Source organism: Homo sapiens, chromosome 11, assembly GCF_000001405.40.
Source record: "Homo sapiens chromosome 11, GRCh38.p14 Primary Assembly".
NCBI lineage: Eukaryota > Metazoa > Chordata > Mammalia > Primates > Hominidae > Homo > Homo sapiens.
This window is the reverse complement of record NC_000011.10, coordinates 111,962,569-111,984,207: the sequence shown is the minus strand read 5'-3', so window position 1 is coordinate 111,984,207 and position 21,639 is coordinate 111,962,569. Positions and strand designations below refer to the sequence as shown.

The 21,639-nt window shown below is 44.0% G+C and overlaps 1 protein-coding gene across 8 annotated transcripts in view, besides 3 other annotated features; it reads right to left on the bottom strand.

Moving 5' to 3' along the window:
• The window catches only part of DIXDC1 (DIX domain containing 1), a 95,339-nt gene that overhangs the window by 38,446 nt on the left and 35,254 nt on the right, over window positions 1-21,639 (bottom strand). For 3 of the 8 annotated variants that reach the window (XM_017018466.3, XM_017018467.2, NM_001037954.4), the window contains 6 exons: window positions 19,530-19,659; window positions 15,570-15,695; window positions 9,954-10,185; window positions 9,225-9,332; window positions 3,359-3,471; window positions 1,721-1,869 (listed from right to left, as the gene is read on the bottom strand). In XM_017018466.3, the coding sequence (XP_016873955.1) occupies window positions 1,721-1,869; window positions 3,359-3,471; window positions 9,225-9,332; window positions 9,954-10,185; window positions 15,570-15,695; window positions 19,530-19,659 (858 nt within the window). Of the gene's footprint in view, window positions 1-1,720; window positions 1,870-3,358; window positions 3,472-6,413; window positions 6,864-8,209; window positions 9,333-9,953; window positions 10,186-15,569; window positions 15,696-19,529; window positions 19,660-21,639 lie in introns of those variants that run through there. The other 5 variants (XM_024448743.2, XM_024448742.2, NM_001278542.2 and 2 more) reach the window with 4 other exon arrangements.
• Window positions 6,083-6,713: an enhancer, noted in NCBI's record as "H3K4me1 hESC enhancer chr11:111848219-111848850 (GRCh37/hg19 assembly coordinates)". NCBI's record gives its function as "activates a minimal SCP1, AML or CMV promoter by ChIP-STARR-seq in primed H9 embryonic stem cells {active_cell/tissue: H9 hESC(primed)}" and the evidence as "EXISTENCE:reporter gene assay evidence [ECO:0000049][PMID:30033119]".
• Window positions 6,674-6,973: a silencer, noted in NCBI's record as "silent region_3905". NCBI's record gives its function as "represses an Ori minimal core promoter by ATAC-STARR-seq in GM12878 lymphoblastoid cells {active_cell/tissue: GM12878}" and the evidence as "EXISTENCE:reporter gene assay evidence [ECO:0000049][PMID:35858748]".
• Window positions 11,603-11,662: an enhancer, noted in NCBI's record as "active region_5523". NCBI's record gives its function as "activates an Ori minimal core promoter by ATAC-STARR-seq in GM12878 lymphoblastoid cells {active_cell/tissue: GM12878}" and the evidence as "EXISTENCE:reporter gene assay evidence [ECO:0000049][PMID:35858748]".

Here is a 21,639-nt window from a genome sequence, read left to right as displayed (position 1 = left end):
GCACACACACAAATTATATATGTGAGGACTCACAAAACTTGGATCTGTCCCTGCAGGTGAGTATCTATCAGGTCAGTGAAAGACTGAAAAATGTGACCCCATTTTATAATAAAATTTGAGTAAGTCAAATGAATTTTGCTATCTCACCAGTCATGGCAACAGGTACAGACATATATAAGAAGCCAGGGCCGCGGGGAGCTAAGGGCATTCAACATTATGGAAATATCAACTATAACAGCAAACTGTTCAAAGGGTTCTAACTAAGGAATACTAATAAGTCAGAAATCTTGGATGTGGCTTAGCAAGCAACTTGTTAATCACTGAAAAGAGTTAAGAAGCCCAGTGGATGCTGTGAGCCCTTTTGTATTCTACAATGGAACCAAATTCTCATTGTGATCATGTGGCTGTGAATTAAAACTCTTCTGTTTGCAGGAAATATTAAGATGCTGACTTTCTGCCTGTCATTTCTCTTCTTTTTCTGTCTAATCTGCCATCGAATTTCTCCCAGACTAAGAAAATGCAAACAAACTTTGAGCCAAACTGATGAATATCTATGTTCATATAATGCAAATTATCCTGGGAACAACCTGGTTGGGTATAATCTCAAAGTTCTCCATGACATACTTCCTATGCAAGTAAAACACACACAAAAACATTCCATTAAGGTATTTGTTAATGGAGTGGCAGAAAAGAGATCTAAAAGGCCTCATAAGCCAGCCATTTTAAAAATACAGAGCAAATGAAGGAAAACCAACAACTTTCTTTGGGAATGTTTACGCAGGCAACATTCCTCCCACACTTCTCAGTTCCTGGGGCATACGTTATGCAAATTGCTTTGCCACAGCACCAATCTCCTTTCTTCTTTAGGAATCTTTTGTGTCCCCACCCTGTTGCAGGCTAGCTGGGAGCACGCCCTCCACCGCCTGCCGGCTGCCAGAGCCACACACATAATGTGGGCTTTGTTTACGTGTCCATAAATATTTGACAATTCAGAAGCACTGCAGTTCCCAGCACAAACAGAAAGGAATATTCCTAGGCAATTTCAGGGTCATCAGCACACTATAAGCGCTCCCCCAAACAGAGACAGACACACAAAGACAAGAATGAGGGGGTCACTCAGGGTGGGAACTATGTCAAGTGGGTCAGTCTCGGGTAGATTTGCCGAGCTGGCACTACAGGTATAGGAAAAACTGAAGGGCTTTGTTGCTCAAAGTAAACCTCTTCTACCTGACCATTATGCCTTGGCATCCATTTGCACATGTATTAGGAGTGAGCTAAATCCCTTAGCTAAATTCAAATGGAAACCTGGCAGCATTACTGGCTCTTACACTCTTCCTGCTAGAGAATTCCTAGAAGAAAATCCCAGACTATTCACAGTGCCATTCTTTGGTGAAAGCTGCAATTGCAGGTCTGCAGCCACATACAGGGTAGAAGCCCACCTATGTAGCACAGAGTCAACAATAAGGACTTGATAAGGGTCAGTAATGGCTCCTGGGCTTGCTGAAATCTTAAGCGCTGTGCTATGAACGGTAGCCCACAAAGTCCATTTAAAGTATTCAAATATAAGGAATTTTCTGCTCTTTCTGTGCTATTCCCTATATCTAAACTCCTCATTCAGTTCTGACCTCCTAGAAAACTAAAATCAGTTTATTTTCCATTGATAATACTGACTTAATAATCAATTGGTATAACAAGGGCAAACTACAAGGGAGAGAGCTACCTGTAGTCCTGATATCATTTTCTTTGCTTCCTCCATTTCTTTTTCTAAATATTCTTGTTGTTCCAACAGCTGTTCTTCCCATGAGGTCTCCAGATAGGTTCCAGGGCTCCCTGGCCGCCAGTCTCGAGATAATGGAGAATCTGTCCCTTCTAAAAAATGAAAAGAGGGAGTACAGTTCATGTTGAAGAAAACTGATTTCCAGCAGACAGCGTTCACAGGGTAGCGTTCACAGGTTCAGGTCACCTGCGTTCTGAACCTGTTCTCATAGCACAGACTGGACTCTCCACCAGGTGGGGTTGTGAGGCCTAAAGAATTGGCTGTGAGCTCAGGCCTCAGGCTCACTTGGTGCTAGAACAATCTATCCTCTTTTAAAACTCTTAGGAAGTATTAAGATTCCCTCCACGGGAGCCTTGGTATGCGCCACACAGACTTCACCCTTAATTCTTAGAACTGGCATTCCAAGAGCCTGACTTTGCCAGGTACAAAAAGAGGAGCTGTCAGATGCAATGAAAACAAAATCTTACTGGTTACTCTGAAGCTTTAGAGGGGAGACTTCAATTCAATATTCCTTTCAGCACTCACTCATAAGTGGACCACTTTCATGTAGAATACTGTGTGAGTCACACAGCAAACAAACCAATAAAAACATACCTGCACAAACTGTTTAATATCACTTTTATTTTCCTAGCTTTAAGGTCTCTTTGCTCTGGTTTCCTTGTCTATTTTATACTATCTAATTGTATGTACAGCCATTTAAAATGCATTCTAGAATTCAGAAAGGCATAAACTCTTTCAGTGAGTTTCTTCATTCAAGAGACGAATATAATAACCCCTCTGGGTTGCTGCAAAGATTAAATGAGGTAACTTATGTGCAGGGCCTGCTGGTGCCTGGCCCAGAGCGGCACTCAGTAAATGCTCTCCCTCTCTCTCTAAGGCCTCAGGAGTTTTGACTCAGTAACATGACTGACTCTTTGGTACTAATGCCAGGGTTAGATGGGGAGCAGAATACAGAAGAATTCAATTCCAGTTTTTCTTCTGAGGGCCTGTGTTTCATTACAACTCTTGTGGGTAAATACAATTCTAAGTCTTGCACTTTGCTTCTTGCATGTTTTTCTCTCTATGTAAGAAAAAATAAAGAGCAACTGAGACAGAGTATGGAAGTCTAAACAAAGGGAACTCTTTGTGGTCCTTTCTGTAGCTTCATACCAAGCCTGATATAGACCTGCTCTCTATTCTCTGTGCCCTCACAGACACCTCAGCTCATACAATGCATTTCTGGTCCCAATTTAAGTTATGTAAGTCCTGCAATTATTTGTATAAGATAGGAATAATAAAAGTGTTTACTTGAGTAAGGCTTTTGACTGCCCCAAAGTCATTTCCTAATTCATAGGCAGCCAGCTGAGAAAGGGCCTATCTATGCTGCTGCAAGATTTTTGACAGCTAGGATATCAGAAATGGCATTCTGCAAGAGGATAACCACATTAATTGGCTCAAAGTCATTAGAGCCCTCTAGTGCTGACCCTGCACGCACAGACCATGGAGATGGGGAAGGCCAGGGAGCTTATTGGTGATGGGGACCTCTAAATTCTTCAAGCTGACTGTTCCTTGAACCAGCCCAGGCAGGCGTAGAGATAGTACCTGTTCTGTTCTCTATTCCTTCAGCGGGAATAATCACAAAATCTGCCTTCTCTTCTGACTGGGTTATAATGGACTCGCTCTTTGCACTGTGGATTGGACTGGGTGAAGTCAGGCTGTGATTGAAGAAAAAGGAAGAAAAACGATTATTATGAAGAGTTGTTCAGAAAGCAGCTTTCATAATTTATTCCTGAGAACAGGGACATGTTCTTATTCATCTTACTCCTCCATGGGTAACACAGTACTTGGCCCACAGAAAATAAAATATTTATTTAATGATTAACTTTTTGAATGAATGAAATTAATATTGAATAAAGGAATGACCCAGTCCTACAAAGTCTCTCCCACAACAAGGATGCCTTTAAGCCTAATTCATTGAGAAGAGATTTACCAAAATGATGGGTAATCTAGCATTCAAAGAACTCCAAGTTTTGCTTTGTTTTACCTCCCACCACCTCCTCCATCACCATCCCTGGGCCCACGTTCAAAGACTGATGCCAGTCTGTGTCTAGTAGCTTTTGGAGCTAGAAGGAAATTTTATTTCCAAAACACTGATCTCTCACAGATACAGGCAATACCAGCCAAGTTATCATGGCAGATCAGCTCTGAGCTGATCACAAAGGAGAGTACAGGGTGGGGGTGGTTCAAGGGGAAAAGTTGCTGGAGGGCGTACATTGCCAGGCTGGGCAGAGGAGCGGTTATATATCAGTAATTGAGCTAGAGCATGACAAGGGGAAGATAATATGTCAAAAGGGGAAAGACCTGCTAGGAATAGTGGAGTAAGGGTTTACTTGATTTATTCCTATCAAAAAGTTATTTATATTTCTGACACAATACTTTCAAATTGTCCTCAGAATCTTCTCAACAATTCTTAAGATTTTGTTTTGTTTTATTTTTTTGAGACAGGGTCTCACTCTGTTGCCCAGGTTGGAGTGCAGTGGCTCCATCATAACTCATGGCAGCCTCAAGCTCATGGGCTTGAGCAAATCTCCTGCCTCAGCCTCCTGAGCAGCTAGGACTACAGGTGCATATGATGCCAAGCTAATTTTTAAATCATTTTGTAGAACAAGTTCTCCCCGTGTTACCCAGGCTGGTCTCAAACTCCTGGGCTCAAGTGATCCTCTCTCCTCAGCCTCTGTACTGGGATTACAGGCGTGGGCCACCGTACCTGGCCCTTAAGTTCTGATATAACTACTAGCCTTGGAAGGAACTATGCAGATTTTTCAGGGAAGTGGAATTTTAAATCTCCAAAAAAACAGCAAATCTACAAGACAAGATGGGAATGTGAGGCTGGTGCTTCCATGTGACAGGGAAAAGGAGTCTCGAGCCATCTCTCTTTGCACTGCACCTTGAGAACATCAGCACTGAAAGAATCTCAGGGGCTGAGGGGTCTCCGGGCCCAGCCCCCTCTCAGGAATTCTTTCCAAATCTATCACCCAGACAACAGTGAAAGTGGCTAGGATTCACTGACCCACTTAATGTGCCCCTGAAGTCTCCCAGGCGAATCCTCACAACCACGATCAGGAGTTAACATTTTGTCCTCCTAGAATCCAGTAAAAAACAAGAGCCAGGCATGGTGGAGGTAGCCAGGCACGTCAAAAGCAGTGAGGCAGCCTGAGGACTAGTGTCTCATCCTCCTCACTGTCCGTATTTTAGGGGCTTTGCTGGGAATGACCTCAACTAGAAATACATTCTCTTCCTTCTTAGAACCACAGAAAACATTTTAAAGCTTTTAAATTGAAATATCAAATTAAAGAAAGTTGCTTAACCATATCTATAGATCTATAACCAAACAGGCAGGAGGGGTAGGGAGTGGCAAGAAGTGATATTCCGAAATAGCAATTGCTTTCTAGAACTTTCTTATTCATCTTTCACCGCTTAGGCAATCTTGACTTCCAGGCCAACATGAATTAGCTGCTTGAAAAGCTCTCATCCAAGTGTACTATGTCATTCACAAGGAGAATAGATTTGTGCCTGCTCAGGCCTCAGCATTTACCTTCTTACAGAAATGGGAATCCAAGTGTAGAAAGCGGCCTGCAAGAGCTGCTCATCTTTGAGAAACAAGAAAACACTTTCTCATCTGACAAGGTGCTATGGATGACATGTTCCATCCTCTGACTTTGCTGGACCACAGTTGGTAAGTGTGAGACAAAATCGGGGAGGAGGGTGCAGTGTGAACCTAGGATGCTAGAAAACTGCTTTCCTAAAAGCACAGACGCATGCTCAGCTCCTTCTCCTTCCTAAGAGTTATCTCCCATATAAGGGCAGAAGGAGGCGGATGTCTGGATATCCATCCCCGCTGGGGGAGTGGCAGAGCAGCCAAAGGAAAACAACATTTCTCTTTCTTGAATTGAGGCTGCCAATGTGAGGCCACCGAGAGGTGAGACCATGAAACTCGATGGCCAAGTGGAGAGATAAAGGACCTCAGGCAGGAAACTCCCGAGGCACATGTCAGAGCAGGCACCCTGCTGCCTCCCTAAAGAAGTACCTCATGGACAAGGAATATGCATTATATCCTCTGCCCCAGGTCAGAAAAAAATATTTTAATGCTAATTAATTATGTATATGACAGGCTCCTCCCTGATTAGCTTAAAAGTCCTATTTTATAAACAATCCCCTACTTAGCATCATAATCCTCTCTGAGGTCAGAGAATGACTGATCAGGTCTGGCTGATACATTTCTTAATTCCCACAGGTCTAATAGCTCTTCTATCTTAATTTATCAGACAAGCAATCCTGCAGCAAAGATACTTCCAAATCCCACTCAAATTAATTTTTTTAAACGGGTAATAGGCAATAAGGAAGAGTTCTATATCCTCATGAAGTGCCCTCCCCCACCAAAGACCCTGGCAGGCGCAAGGGCTACTCATCCTCCCCCCATGCTGGCTCCACTTCCTACGCCCACCGTATTTTATAGTGATAACCCCTGGTCAGCAGCCGGTCCTCCCAACATAATGCTCCCACCACCCCGCCTGTCTCCGGCCAACAGCATCCTCCAGCCCTGCCCCTGTTCCCACCCAGGCCCCCCACTTCCAAAGCCAGAGTGGCTTCAGCTCACCATTTGACTTGCGTCCCTCCCATGGTCCCCCTCCTGTCTCGGGCTTCAGCAAGCCTGCGTCCCCGGGTGAAGTGGGAGGCTGAGAGTCACATCGCTCCCAAATTCAGGCATGTCTCCCCGCGCTGGGGCTGGAAAACGCCTCCACGGGAAGGCCAGCTAGCAAAGCTACTGGCCCGGCTCGCGGGAGAAAGCGGGAACGGCGGCGGCGGCGGCGTCTCGGCCCCAGCGACTGGGATGCTCCAGGCTCTGAAGCGCGCAGTCCCGGCCGCTCAGACTGTGCAGCAGCCCGGCCCCGGCGGAAGCTGCCTCCCCTCGCAGGCTGCCGGCCCCTGGCCGCTGCATCTTGGCCTCCGCGGACGCACGGTGCCGGGCATCCCCCCTGGCGGGGGCATCTCAACCCATCTCCCACTGGGAGGGAGGCTCCCGGCGGCGCAGGCTGCGCCTCGAGTCCCCAGCGGCGATCCCACTCCGTGCCACCTTCCGGATCCCTCCCCGCCCCACCCTCTGCTCCCTCCCTGGGCTGTCACACGCGGCGAGGCAGCCGGGCTCCGACCCAAGCCAGCTCCGCTGGCCAACCGACCGCTCTGGACGGAGGTTGAGGGTGCGGGCCAGGGGCGGGGCTGGGCGGGGTGGAGGTGGGGGTGGGGACGTCGACGAGGGGTTGGGGGATGCGAGGAGAGGAGATTGGGAGCCTCAGGATAGGCAGGGGAAGAGCCGCGTATCGGCAGAATCACGAGGAGGGCTCTAGTGGTCTGAGTGCTGGGGAGCCCCGCACCAAAAACCTTGCCTTCTCCACTCTGAGCCCTCCCTTGGTGGACGAGGGGTCGGTCGGACAGGTCAGGCCCGCATGGGGCTCTGGCCGCTCCTCGGGGTGGAGACTCTGACGCTCCCCAGGAAAATTCGCCGAGCACCTATCCCCTCCCACCTTCCCCTCTGGCGTTTCGTGTGTTCTTTTTAACCAACTAAGGATCATTTTGCTTGGCTACAATGTGAGGCTGGTATGCGGTTTTCGGAGCAACAGGCTGGCAGGGCTTCCCCAGGGCGTCTCCGGAGGAGCAGTGGCAGGGAATGAGACACCCAGGGGCTATCCTTCCTTCTGAGCCACTCCCGTCCTGAGCAAGCCACATCTGGGGGCTCCTGGGCTCTTCATGGGTCACAGAGCCACTAAGTGGGCTCCCTGGGGGCGAGGGCTCAGAATGTGCGGGAACCTGCTGGGTTCCAGATAGCCACAAGAAGCCCTCTCCTTCCCCAGGGACTCACTGAGGAAAAGGCAGCTACTAACCCAGCATGCCAAAGAGCTGGATGAGGGGTCAGCATTAGAAGAAAATGTCAAAATCCAGTAGTGAAAAACAGGGTAAAGCAAACAATTCTCCTCTGGCCCCTCTCCTAGAAAACTGTCACCATTAGCTCACTGCAGCCTGATAGCCGGTGGGCCCCTCATTCACACATTCACAGTCTCACAGCCCTCCCCTCAGTCCTCCTGCCTTGGAGGAGAAAGCAGGTGCCCTCAGGAAGAAATCCACTCTTCCTCCTACCACCAACTCTAGCAGGCACTATCAGGCTCAGAAGAGTGAAAGGCCTGCAGAAGTGCAGGAAGCAATACAACAAAACATCCTGTAATTCCGCTCCAGGTGATAACCTAAGCAGCAAGCAAGGAAGAAATGATTTAGATTCTCATTAAAAGCACACCTGCTGCTTAATGGGCGCAGGGCTTCCTTTTGGGGTGATGAAGATGTCTTCTGAGTGGATAGAGGTGATGGTCGCACCACATTATGAAGATACTAAATGCCACTGAATTGTACACTTTATAATGTTTAATGGTTAATTTTATGTTATGTGAATTTTATAAGTAAGAAAGAGCACAGCTATTAAATGTAAAAAAGGTAAAAAGTTAGCAAGTTTACCAGTATATTAAAATACTAGAAAGAGTTCCATATGACCTCAATAAATTAGGAAATGTGCATTAAAATAGGATGGAGTTTTATGAGAAAAAAATAGGAGGAAGAAAACAAGGACACATAACATACATACAAGACAAGGAACAATTAGCCCTAAATAGAGCAGATTACACAGGGTTGGGATAGGAAAGAAAAGGTCATTAGAGCATAAATTATGATTCAGCAACAAAATGAAGTTAGTAAAAACATGATCTGGGGAGTGTTTATAGAAGCACAATTTACATGAGCCAGTAAAGTAATCTTTTTTCTGCCACTGATAAGGTTTTTATTAGGGCACTGTATCCTGTTTTGGTCTCTGTACTTGGCTCTAAAGGATACACACAACTTTTAGCTAGAGTCGCAAACATCATTAGTTTGCTCAAACACATACTAATCAGCCACAGTTCCTGTAGAGGAAAGTTGGAAACATTCTAATGCTCTAAGACAACTCTGCTCAATTTCTTCTCTTCTATGAGCTTTACACAGACTTTTCCGGCCTTAAGAGTTACACTTAGGCTCAAGGACAGCACAATGGAACTGGCTATCATAAACACTGGCACCTCATATGCAAATGTCAGAACCACTGGACTGGGCCCTGACAGGTTCCAGCCATGCCCCCATGTGGTCACAGTTAAGCACTGGCACTGGGACTGCACAGATTCCATTTGTGGGAAATAAACCAGCACCCCACCCTACCTTCCTACCCTCCTACTAGCACAAACCCACAAAGCACTGCTAAGGGGTATCCCTTTAAAGCCAAACATAAACTGAGGGGAGAAAAAGGGCTTAGGTGCCTTTTTGCTTGTTGTATTGTTACTTGAAGCCGAGAACTCCGAGAATCCTCCAGAATTCAGGTTTCAGAGGCCACAGTTACCTGGAGCAGCTGGATTCAGACGGGGACCTTTGTTGCCCTTCGTACTGCTGCACTAGGGCCCGCACACTCCAGTATGGATTCTCAATTTCCTCATCCATGCTGCTGTTCCTAAAGTCAAAGGACCCCAGCAAAGGGAAGGTGTCAGTCCTTCAGATCAGATCAACTCAACAAGTACAGAGAGACTGCCACTCTGCGAGCAGTATACACACATGAGTAAGACAAAACCCCTGCCTCAAAGACACTTGGTACCTAGCAGGGAAGGCAGACAAAAAACAAGTAATTCACCAACCTGTGCAACACCTCAGGGTCCTGCTCTCTCTTAGCAGATACACAACCCACAAAGCATTTCCTGCCATGACTCCCAAGACAACCTGACCTTTGGGTACATTCCAGAGTGGAGCTTCCTCTAGATGAACTGGAACACTGCTCCCACGGACCTCCCAGTGAAGAAAACACACTGTGCCAAAAGTGTATATTTAAATTTTGGGCACCAGAGCAAAAACTTACACATAAGATTCCTTTACTTTTGCTAAATGCAAAATAAAAATAAACATCTCAGAAGAAAAGGCTTTTCTCTTTTGAGAGTGCCCTCCCCTACCTCCCCACTCCATGTTCTTTTCTGCAATCTGGGGCTGTTTGGGTGACGTTTCTATCTACTGCACTGTATCATCTAACAGAAGAAGTATCAGAGAGAGGGATCAGTTCCCACCCCCAGATTTCTACCCTTACCTCTGTCTATATCGAAAGACATCCCGTCCTGATCGGGACATGTCATGACACACATCGGCCAGAGCAGCAGCTGCTCCCTGGGCAACAGCAGTGGCACAGTGTGGTCGGTGACTTTGCAGAGGGGCTCTGGAGTCCCGTCCTTGGTTCACCGTCCTGCTGGAGCCAGGTTTGAAATGAGCTGCCAAGGCAAGGACCAGCCTCATGATAGACTTCAGGTTTCCATCCACAATATCTGAAGGATAAAACGGACCAAGAATAAAACAGACCAAGAGGTCCTAAGAGGGAGGCAAAAGCTGAGGACTTCTGCATTTATTACATATTGCTAGTGATACAGGTAAGCAAGGCAGTCAGGGTCTCAGTCCTCACAAAGCTCTGGGCAACAAGGGAGACCGAATATATAACAGCAATGACAATAAAGTAAGATCATGTGTTTTGATAAGAGAAGTACAGGATTCTTTGGGAGGTCAGAGTAGAGACATCTTATCTAGATGGCTCAGAGAAGGATTCCTAGAGGAAGTGGGTTCTAAACTGAGACTTGATTGACAAAAGAGTAGCACATTAGTTAGACAAGAGAAAGACAAAGAGTATTCCAGGAAGAGGGAACAGCAGGTGTGAAGGTCTTGAAGTGGGAGAGAGCATGATATATTAGAGCTATGCCATCTAATATGGGAACCATTAGCCACCTGTAGCTATCAAGCACTTAAAAAGTCACTAGTCTGAAATGAAATGTGCTCTAAGTGTAGTATGTACTTAGCATACACACATGCCCCCAAAATGCAAAATATCTCGATAACTTTTTATATTGATTGCATGAAATGGTATTTTGGATATATTGAGTTAAATGAAATATTATTAAAATTAATCTCACCTTTTTTTTTTTTTGAGATGGAGTTTCACTCTTGTTGTCTAGGCTGGAGTGTAATGGCGTGATCTTGGCTCACTGCAACCTCTACCTCCCAGGTTCAAGCAATTCTCCTACCTCAGCCTCCTGAGTAGCTGAGATTACAGGTGCCCGCCACCATGCCCAGCTAATTTTTTGTATTTTTAGTAGAGATGGGGTTTCACCATGTTGGCCAGGCTGGTCTTGAACTCATGACCTCAGGTGATCCACCTGCCTCAGCCTCCCAAAGTGCTGGGATTACAGGCGTGAGCCACTGCGCCCGGCTCACCTGTTTCTTTTTTTATGATGTGGCTATTAGAAACTCTTTTTTTTTTTCCCCCAGGCTGGAATGCAATGGCACGATCTTGGCTCACTGCAACCTCTGCCTCCTGGGTTCAAGCGATTCTCCTGCCTCAGCCTCCTGAGTAGCTGGGATTACAGGTGCCCACCACCACGCCCAGCTAATGTTTGTATTTTTAGTAGAGATGGGGTTTCACCATGTTGGCCACGCTGGTCTTGAACTCCTGACCTCAAGTGACCAGGAGTGTGATCAGGGAGGCCTAGCCTCCCAAAGTGCTGGGATTACAGGTGTGAGCCACTGCACCCGGCCTGCTATTAGAAACCTATGTGGTTAAGTTACCTATGTGAGTTGCATTCTATTTCTGTGACACAGCACTGTGGTGGAGGAAGTGAAAGAAGTTCAGCATAGGCAGAGCCCAGAATGCAGGGGGAGACAGGGAAAGGTGAGGCAGCAGAGGGGTGCATCAGAGGGTGGATCACACAGGGCATGGGAGGCCACAGGAAGGACTCTGGATTTTATCCTAAGGGTCCTCAGATACGGAGGAGTGGCATGAGTATATGTACTCTTAGAAAGATCATTCTGACTGCAGTGTGGAGAGCAGATGAGAAGGGGACAAAAATCAATGCCGCAGGACTAACTCAGACTGTTACACTTCTCCAGGTAAATGACAATGATGTCCTAAATGGCAGTGTTCCCTCAAAATAGCTGACTTTAATGGGCCAGATCCCCAAGCCCACTCCACATGGGAACCAGATCAGAGGTATCGTGGAACTCTAAATTTTGCCCTAGAAATAAAAGAGGAATGTAGGCAGAAAACAGTGTGGTAAGTCTGGTGAAAGTCAATGTAACGAAATGGGTAAATTTTTATTTTATTTTTTAGCTTTGTAGCCTTTAAATATACAAGTCTTGGAAAAGGATTATTTGTGTTTGTTTTTTTTCTTTTTCACCTTTTGTTTTAGAAGCAGGTGGTACACATGCAGGTTTGTTACAAAGGTATATTGTGTGATGCTGAGGTCTAGGGTACGATTGAACTCATCATCCGGATAGTGAGCACAGTACCCAACAGGTAGTTTGCAGCCCTTCCTCCCTCCTTCCCTCCCTCCTCTAGTAGTCCCCAGTTTCTATTGTTCCCATCTTTATGTCCCAATGTGCACCCAGTGTTTAGTTCCCAATTATAAGTAAGAACATAATGGTGTTTGATTTGCTGGTTCTGCATTAGTTTGCTTAGGATAATGGTCTCCAGCTGCATCCATGTTGCAGCAAAGGACATGAATTTTTTTTTTATAGCTGCATAGTATCCTATGGTGTATATAGATATAGATATAGATATAGATATAGATATAGATATACACACCACATTTTATTTATTCACTGCACTGTTGATGGGCACCTAGGTTGATTCCATGTTTTTGCTATTGTGAATGGCGCTGCAATGAACCTACGGGTGCATGTGTCCTTTTGGTAGAATGATTTATTTTCCTTTGGGTATATACCCAGTAATGGGATTGCTGTAGTTCTTAGAGAAATCTCCAAACTACTTTCCACAGTGGCTGGACAAAGTTACATTCCCACCAACAATATATGTGTCCCCTTTTCTCCACAGCCTTGCCAACATCTGTTATTTTTTGACTTTTTAACAAAAGCCATCCTGACTGGTGTGAGATAGTATCTCATTGTGGTTTTGATTTGCATTTATCTGATTAGTGTTGATGAGCTTTTCTTCATATGTTTGTTGGCCACTTTTGAGAAGTATCTGTACATGTCCTTTGCCCACTTTTCAATAGGGTTATTTGTTTTTGCTTGTTATTTAAGTTCCCTATAGATTCTAGATATTAGACCTTTGTCAGATTCATAGTTTGTGAATATTTCCTCCCATTCTATAGGCTATCTGCTTACTCCCCTGATAGTTTCTCTTGCTATGCAGAGGCTCTTTAGTTTAATTAGATTCCAATTATCAATTTTTGTTTATGTTGCAATTGCTTTGAGGATTTAGTAATAAATTCTTTGCCAATGCCAATATCAAGTAGGGTTATTTCCTAGGTTTTCTTCTAGGATTTTTATAGTTCAAGGTCTTATATTTAAGTCTTTATTCCATCTTGAGTTAATTTTTGCAAAAGGTGATAGACAGGGATCTAGTTTCATTCTTCTGCATATGGCTGGCCAGTTATCCCAGCACCATTTATTGAATAGGGATTCTTTTCCTCATTGCTTATTTTTGTTGAGTTTGTCAAAGATCACATGGTTGTAGGTGTGGAACTTTATTTCTGGGTTCTCTAGTCTGTTCCATTGGTCTATGTGTCTGTTTTTATACCAGTACCATGTTGTTTTGGTTACTGTAGTCTTGTAGTATAGTTTGAAGTCAGGTAATGTGACACCCCAGCTTTGTAGCTTTGTTCTTTTTTTTTTTTTTTTGAGATAGAGTTTCGCTCTGTTGCCCAGGCTGGAGTGTAGTGGCGCAATCTTGGCTCACTGGAACCTCGGCCTCCTGCTTTCAAGCTATTCTCCTGTCTCAGCCTCCTGAGTAGCTGGGACTACAGGCATGCACCACCACACCCAGCTAATTTTTGTATTTTGAATTTCTTTTACCTCTTTGGTTAGATGTATTCCTAGATATTTCTTTTTTGTGTGTGGTCATTGTAAGTGGGATTGTTTGTGGGATTGTGTTCATAATGTGTCTCTCAGCTAGAATGTTATTGGTGTATAGAAATGCAACTGATTTGGCCAGGTGCAGTGGCTCATGCCTATAATCCCAGCACTTTGGGAGGCTGAGGCAGGTGGATCACTTGAGGTCAGGAGTTCGAGACCACGCTGGCCAACATGATGAAATCCCGTCTCTACAAAAATACAAAAATAAGCCAGGCATGGTGGCGCATGCCTGTAGTTCCAGCTACTCAGGAGGCTGAGGCAGGAGAATCAGCTGAACCTAGGAGGCGGACGTTGCAGTGAGGTGAGATCACGACACTGAACTCCAGTCTGGGTGACAAAGCAAAACTCTATCTCAAAAAAGTAAAACAAATGCTACTGATTTTTGCACACTGATTTTATATCCTGAAACTTTACTCAAGTCATTTATTAGTTCTAGGAGCCTTTTGACAGAGGCTTTTGGGGTTTTCTAGGTATAGAATCATATCATCAGTGAAGAGAGATAGTTTAACTTTTTCTTCTCCTATTTGGATGCCTTTTATTTCTTTCTCTTGCCTGATTGCTCTGGCTAGGACTGCCAGTACTATGTTGAGAAGGAGTGGTGAAGGATTCTTTGATACCTTCCACAAGGTGCTCTCAATGATCAGTATTGGCCTCATCTAAATGATCTAAACACAGAGAACACTAATATAATAATCCAACATGAGCCGTTCTGCCCCTATTGTCATGAGACCCAAAGGCAATCAGACCCAGGAACTGACGCTGAAACAAAACCAGGTCTATAGTCAGTTCTCGAGAAACAGCAAGAGAACTAGGGAGCCTATGCTCTCTAAGAACACCTACACTGTTCCTCCCTTGAAGCCTGGGCTCAAAATAGCCCAGCAAACCCATCTGGGCCAAGCCACTACAGAAGAGGGCAGATGCAGAGGTCACAGAGCTGCTTTCATCCTGCCTAGAATGTTCTATGATATCCAAAAAAGGGCTATAAAATATTTCCCTTCTAAAAAACTAGATGGAAAAAATGTAGGTTATGAGTATCTTAAATAATATTTTGTCATGAAACCCAAGGAACTTAAAAAACATAAACTCTTCATTTTTGATAACTTAAATGAGAAATTCTAAAATTAATATCCCAATATTGTAATTTCTTCTCTCTTTTTTAAAAAATGGAGACAGAGCCTAACTATGTTGCCCAGGATAGTCTCAAACTCCTGGGCTCAAGTGATCCTCCCGCCTTGGCCTCCCAGTGCTGGGATTACAGGTATGAGCCACCATGCCCAACCATAATTTCTTCTCTAACCACTAATTTTCCTACATACACTCAAGCAAATCTGTATTCAATTAAAATGAATGCCCGGGCACAATGGCTCACGCCTGTAATCCCAGCACTTTGGGAGGCCAAGGCGAGGCGGGTAGATCACTTGAGGTCAGGATTTCGAGACCAGCTTGACCAACACAGTGAGACCCCATATCTACTAAAAATACAAAATTAGCCAGGCATGGTGGCACATGCCTGTAATCCCAGCTACTTGGGAGGCTGAGGCAGGAGAATCACTTGAACCAGGGAGGCAAAGGTTGCAGTGAACCAAGATTGTGCCATTGCACTCCAGCCTGGGCAAGAAGAGTGAAACTCCGTCGCAAAAAATAATAATCATGAAATAAAAAATAAAAAATAAAATAAAATGAATGGAGACTTTCTATCTTCCCCCAGGTTACAGCCAAGGATTTTCCTGAGGCTAGCACTCACTGGTTAAAGTATACTCATGCACCAAGGATGTGATGAGGCACTGACCTTTAGCCGAAGTCTGGTGCATACGAATCTTTTTAGAGGCCACAAACTGTAGCACTTTCTCCACATTATTCTTCATCTCCTGTTGGTTACCGGGACTCAGCTGTACCCCACTCAGCTTTTCTCCTGCTGTTAGGAGAGAGAAAATATAGGAAGTTATAGGGAGGAATATTATCAAAGTTTCATAGCAGCTAGACACAGAGGAAGGGAAGATTTGATGTGAACACCAACATTATACATAAATATATAAATGAGTTAAGTCCTGGTGTTTGTCATTTAGATGGGAAATAGGAATATGAAAGCCTTTTGGAAGGCTTTCAAATTTATACTTAGGGGTCTGTGAAGTTACTGTGTGTACATTTATTCAGTCAGCAAATATTCACTCAGCATCTATTGAGTGGCAAGTACTCACTATTCTGGGCACCAGAGAAAAAGGAGAGAAAAAGAACAATAAAGTCCCTCCCTTCATAGAATTTATATCTGCAGGAGTGGCAGACAACAATCAAGTTAACAAGTAAGTGTTTAATATAATTTCATAGTAGCGATAAGTGCTTGAGGAAAAATAAAGTACAGTGATCATGGTCTCTCTGATAATAACATTTGGCAGCACCTTGAATAAAGTAAAGCATGTTAAGATTTGAGGAGGAAGCATTCCAGACTGAGGAACCACAGGGACAAACCCCAAGCTCCGCTTACCTGAAGAACAGCAAGAGCAGTGTGGCTGGGGGAGTGAGCAAGGAGTCAAGTCCTAGGAAAGGCTAGACAGGCAAGCAATGCCAGGGCAGGCGGGGCTTTCTGGACCACAGCAAAGGGCCTGAATTTTATCCTAAGTGTAATGAGCAGCCAATGGAGAGTCTGAGACAAGGGAGTGACATAATCTGGTTTATGTTTTTAAAAGTTGACTGGCAGGGTGCCATGGCTTACGCCCGCGCCCGTAATCCTAGCACTTTGGGAAGCCAAGGCAGGGGAATTGTCTGAGCCCAGGAGTTCAAGACTAGCCTGGGCAAGATGGTGAAAACCCCGTCTCTACAAAAATAATAAAATAAATAAAATGGACTCTGCGTGGAAATAGACTATGGAGAGAGGAAACAGGGAGATCAGTCTGAAGCATGATGAAAATAGTCAAGGCAGGACATGATGGTTTGGGCTAGAGTGGAAGAGGCTGACTGATGAGAAGTTAGATATCAGGTATATTGTAAATACAAAGCAGATGGCACATATGAAGGATTCGATATAATATATGACAAAAAGGACAATTAAGGACACCTTCTAACTGTTCTGCTTTAACACCTAGGCAAATGATAATGCAGTGTGTTACTCTGATGAAGAAACTTGGAGAATAAAGGGATTGGTAGGGGGAAGGACATCCAAATTTCTGATTAGGATGTGTGAAATTTGAGTTGCATATTAGACATCCAAGTAGAGATGTTGGATATTCATGTCTAGAACTCAAGGAAAAATTCAAGCCTAAAGATACAAATTTGGGAAGAAATCACTTAGGAGTAGAGAATATATAAGAGGGCTGAACCTGCAGCACTCCGGGATTAGAGGTCAGGAAGGAAATGAAAAGCCAACAAAAAAATGAAAGGAGCCTGAGAGGAAGGAAGAAAACTAGAAGTTAATAGGATTCTGGAAGCCAAGTAAAGAAAGTGTTTGAAGAGAAGGGCGTTATCAACTATGTCAAGTACTGCTATGTTGAATAAAATGAGGTCTGAGGCCTGGCCACTGGATTTGATAAGGTGGAGGCTTGGCCACTGGATTTGATATGACCTTGAGGAAGGCGGTTTCAGTGGAGTGGGATCAGAAGCCTGATAAGGGCAGATTAAAGAAAGCATAGGAAATAAGGAAGTGGATCCAGTGAATATAGGCAAAATCTTGTGAGGAGCTTTTCTATCTAGCAAAGTCACAATAGAAAGTTGTGTTTAAGAACCTGGGTTTTGGCTGGACGCGGTGGCTCACGCCTGTAATCCCAGCACTGTGGGAGGCCGAGGCAGGCAGATCACGAGGTCAAGAGATCGAGACCATCCTGGCCAACAAGGTGAAACCCCGTCTCTACTAAAAATACAAAAAATTAGCCGGGCGCGGTGGCGGGCGCCTGTAGTCCCAGCTACTCAGGAGGCTGAGGCAGGAGAATGGCGTGAACCCGGGAGGCGGAGCTTGCAGTGAGCCGAGATTGCGCCACTGCACTCCCGCCTGGGCCACAGAGCGAGACTCCGTCTCAAAAAAAAAAAAAAAAAAAAAAAATACAAAAATTAGCTTGGCGTGGTGGTGCACGCATGTAGTCCCAGTTACTTGGGAGGCTGAAGCAGGAGAATTGCTTGAACCCAGAAGGTGGAGGCTGCAGTGAGCCGAGATTATGCCATTGCACTCCAGCCTGGCAACAGAGCAAAACTCCGTTTCAAAAAAAAAAAAAGGAAAAAAAAAAAAAAAAAAACCCCGGGTTTTGCAGGGGAGGGAATGGGAAAAAAAGGGCCTAGGTTTTGGAAAAATAAGAATACATATTCATATTACTTGTATAGACATAGAATGGGAAGTTTCTCTGGGAAGAAATGCAAGAAACTGCTAACACTAGCTGCCTCTAGAAGGAAAAATGGGTAGCTGGTGGGGGAACATAAGTGGAAAAAGGAGGTTTGATCTTACATCCTTTTGTACATCTGGATTTCCTACTAGTCCATGTATAACCTATTCAAATAAATGAAACATTAAATGTTTAAAACAGGCTTTGGAATTAAAGCAGATCTAGGTTTGTACCTCTGTTTTGGCACTTATAGTTATGTGACTTTGTAAAGTTGCTTAGCCTCTCTAAGCCTCATAAAATGAATACAATAGTACTAGTCATATTATACACCTATCATAAATAAATCAAAATAGCATGCTTAGCTATTTTGTTTGACTCATACTAAGTACTATTTATTTTTATAAATCTTCTCTTTTAAGCTTGTTTCCTAAAAGTGGGGATAATATTATGTTTCCCAAAGATATGATGATTAAATGAAATTAAACAAGATAGAAAGTGTTCAATCCTAGCAGTTGCTATTACCGTTGCCATTATTACCATCATTACAGATGAATACTCTGATGAATTCATAAACTGTCCCTATGAGGTATTCACGGATGGGCTGCTTGTTGCAAACCTGGCTTCTTCCGTACCACTTGCAGGTCCTATATCCCTCAAGAACTCAAAGCAAAATCAGCTAACTAATGTAACAATAAATGTTTGAGAACCTATTATGTGCATTTGGCTAGAGCTTGCATAAACAGAAAAACATTATACTATGCCTGCTCTTAAACAGCTCAGATCACACAGGATAGGTAATCAAATGATTACCACATAATTATCATTCGATGAGAGAAATAATAATAGAAATATGGACAAATGCTATGGAAATAAGGTTATGGTACCATCTAGTAAGAATGACTGTCAACAACCCCAGGGTTCAAGAGGAAAAAAATTTTATGAAGTATTATGGTAGAAGGGTCCTTTTGCCAGTAACATCCCTCTTTTTGCCTGACTACTACTTCCTTCTCTGGCCTTGGTTTAGATACCAATTCTTCTGGTAGGCCTCAGTTGAGATATCAGTTCTGGTAAGCCAATCCCTGAGCCCCTAAGACTGGGCTGGGTGTCCCTCCTATGTGCTCCCATCTGTGCTTACCCCACTGGAGTACTAAGTACATTAATGGAATTGACTTCACTTTCCAGCCTTTCCAACTAGTTTGGTAGACTCTTGAGAGCATGGACTATTCTCATCCTCATATTCCCAAAGCATAATACAGTGCCCGGGACACAATGTTTATTGACGAATAAATAAATGAATTAACCTTGGGCAAGTATTTTAAGTCTTCTCTACCTCTACTGCCATATATTCTAAAGAAAAAATAACCTGCTCTAAAGGGCATAAGAAGGATAAAGAAGGCCAGATTCTGATCTATGTACTCTAGTATCAGAGTCCAGGGCCAACTGACCAACAATCTCGATGAGATATGCCAGGATCACCCCATCCCGGAGATCTTGTCGCAGGTCCTGCACAGGCTTCACTGCTGGCCTCTTCTTCAGCTGTGCATTCACCCAGGCCACATAGGCCTGCAGCTGTTGCTGGAAAATAAAAGATATAAGTAAGGGAAAGAGAGCATATTAATCTCAACCCTTACCTCATACCCTCTGAGGAAGCGTTTGTGACTGGGGTATAATAAACAACCCATATCCAGAAGCAGGAGAAATTTTTGAGGAAAGAGAGAAGAAAGATTATATCATGGTCAGACACACAGCATGTTCACAAATTCTCTAGTTTTATGCTAATCTCCAGTGATAAGCTAACCTCGGACTTGGGTGGCACTGTAGACACACATAAGCAGATGAGTCTTTCAATGACTATGACTCTTGCTTTCCTCAAGTTTTTCTCTGTTGACCAGGGATGAGGGCTTGGCCCAGAACCACAGCCAGTTTTCAGGTCTATTCACGACTGCCAGCAACCCACCGCACTTCTCAGAAACAATTACTCGTGCCATATGCATAACAGACTCTGATACTCATACGAATTGCTCTTGGGCAACCAGGAATAAACAATAAACCATGCTCAGAGCTGCCTCTCCCATAGCTGCTTTCTTCAAAATGAGACTTAAGTGAAATCATCTCACAGTCAACCCAAGATTTATTCTCCTGAGCCAATAATCCTAGGATTGCTACAGAGTTAGTTTTAATCCATGCTTTATATTGTCAAAGAGGATCTGGTTACCGAAAATCTACACAAAGAAGGAAAAAGAAAGGCTATAGTGAGCAATGTTACTGAAGACTAAGAGGCATTTTCATTTACTTTTAGACAAAGCTAGGGCCCAGTATTATCAGAAACTGGTCAGGCATCTACGTAGGGACATACAACTCATTCCAACCCTTGGAAACCTTACATATTACATTTTGTCCATTAAACAGAACTGGTATTCAGATGTTTATGCTGATTATTTGGTCAAAAGATGGGCACTAATATCAAAATATCACACAAACAATGTCACTCTCCAAGTAGCAGCTCTGACTGGTTTCTTTGCAGCCCAGGACCCTGAGCCTAAAATTTAAGTTCAAGGGCTAATTGTATTAATTTATAATTTGGTTAAAATACAGTTGATTCCTAAGCCCCAAGTACTTCCTTAATGAAACAATGTTGGAAATTACTCACTGGCTGCTTCCTGAACATAAATTAAATCGTCATTATTTTCTCTCTTTGTCAATTTGTGAGAATAAATAACATCGTTTGGAAGACAGTGCTAAGACAACAATCCATCAGCCACTGACAAACTGTAGGAAGTGCAACGATCAGGAGGAGGTGGGAGGAGGAATCTAATATTTATTGAGCACCTATCATGAACTAAACCAATTTTTGGTGTTTGACCCATGTTTTAATTAGTGAAGGTACCTGGGCCAGGGCCTGACATAAAATTGACGCTTACTAAATGTACTAAATGACATTATTTTTGTCATCGTCATCCAATTCAATTCTCAGAAAAACACTAGAGTTAGCATTATCTCCATTTTATGGATGAGGTTCAGAGAGGTTATGTAACTTCTCTAATGTCCCCATAGCTAGGACATAGCAGACATGGTATTAAAACCCAGTAATGTTGTCCATGCATTTACCAAGGGTCTCTTGCTATCCAACTTACTCCACAGAACAGAAATGGCTGCACCTTCTGCCTCACGTGGGCCAGACACCCATCACCAGGGACCAGATGAGATCTGTGATGCTCCAAGGTCTGCTCCCATTGTGCAGTCAGAAGCAGACCAGGCAAAGGGCACCTCTAGAGTGAACCACTCTGGTCTGAGGGAAAGCAGTTAAGCCCAGAAAGAACACTAAGGTGACTGGTGGGATCTGATTACCTGGCTTTTATATAAAACTCCTAACCAATTTCCCTGTATCTATTATCATCCTCAACCCACCCTCCACACATTCCTGCTTAAAATCTGTTACTTGTCTCCAATTATCCTCAAAGATAAAATCCAATTGCCATTTAAGCTCGTCACGTGCTAGCCTTCACCTGTTCTCCAGCTTCACCCCCATTCCCCAAATACCCACCATGCTTCAGC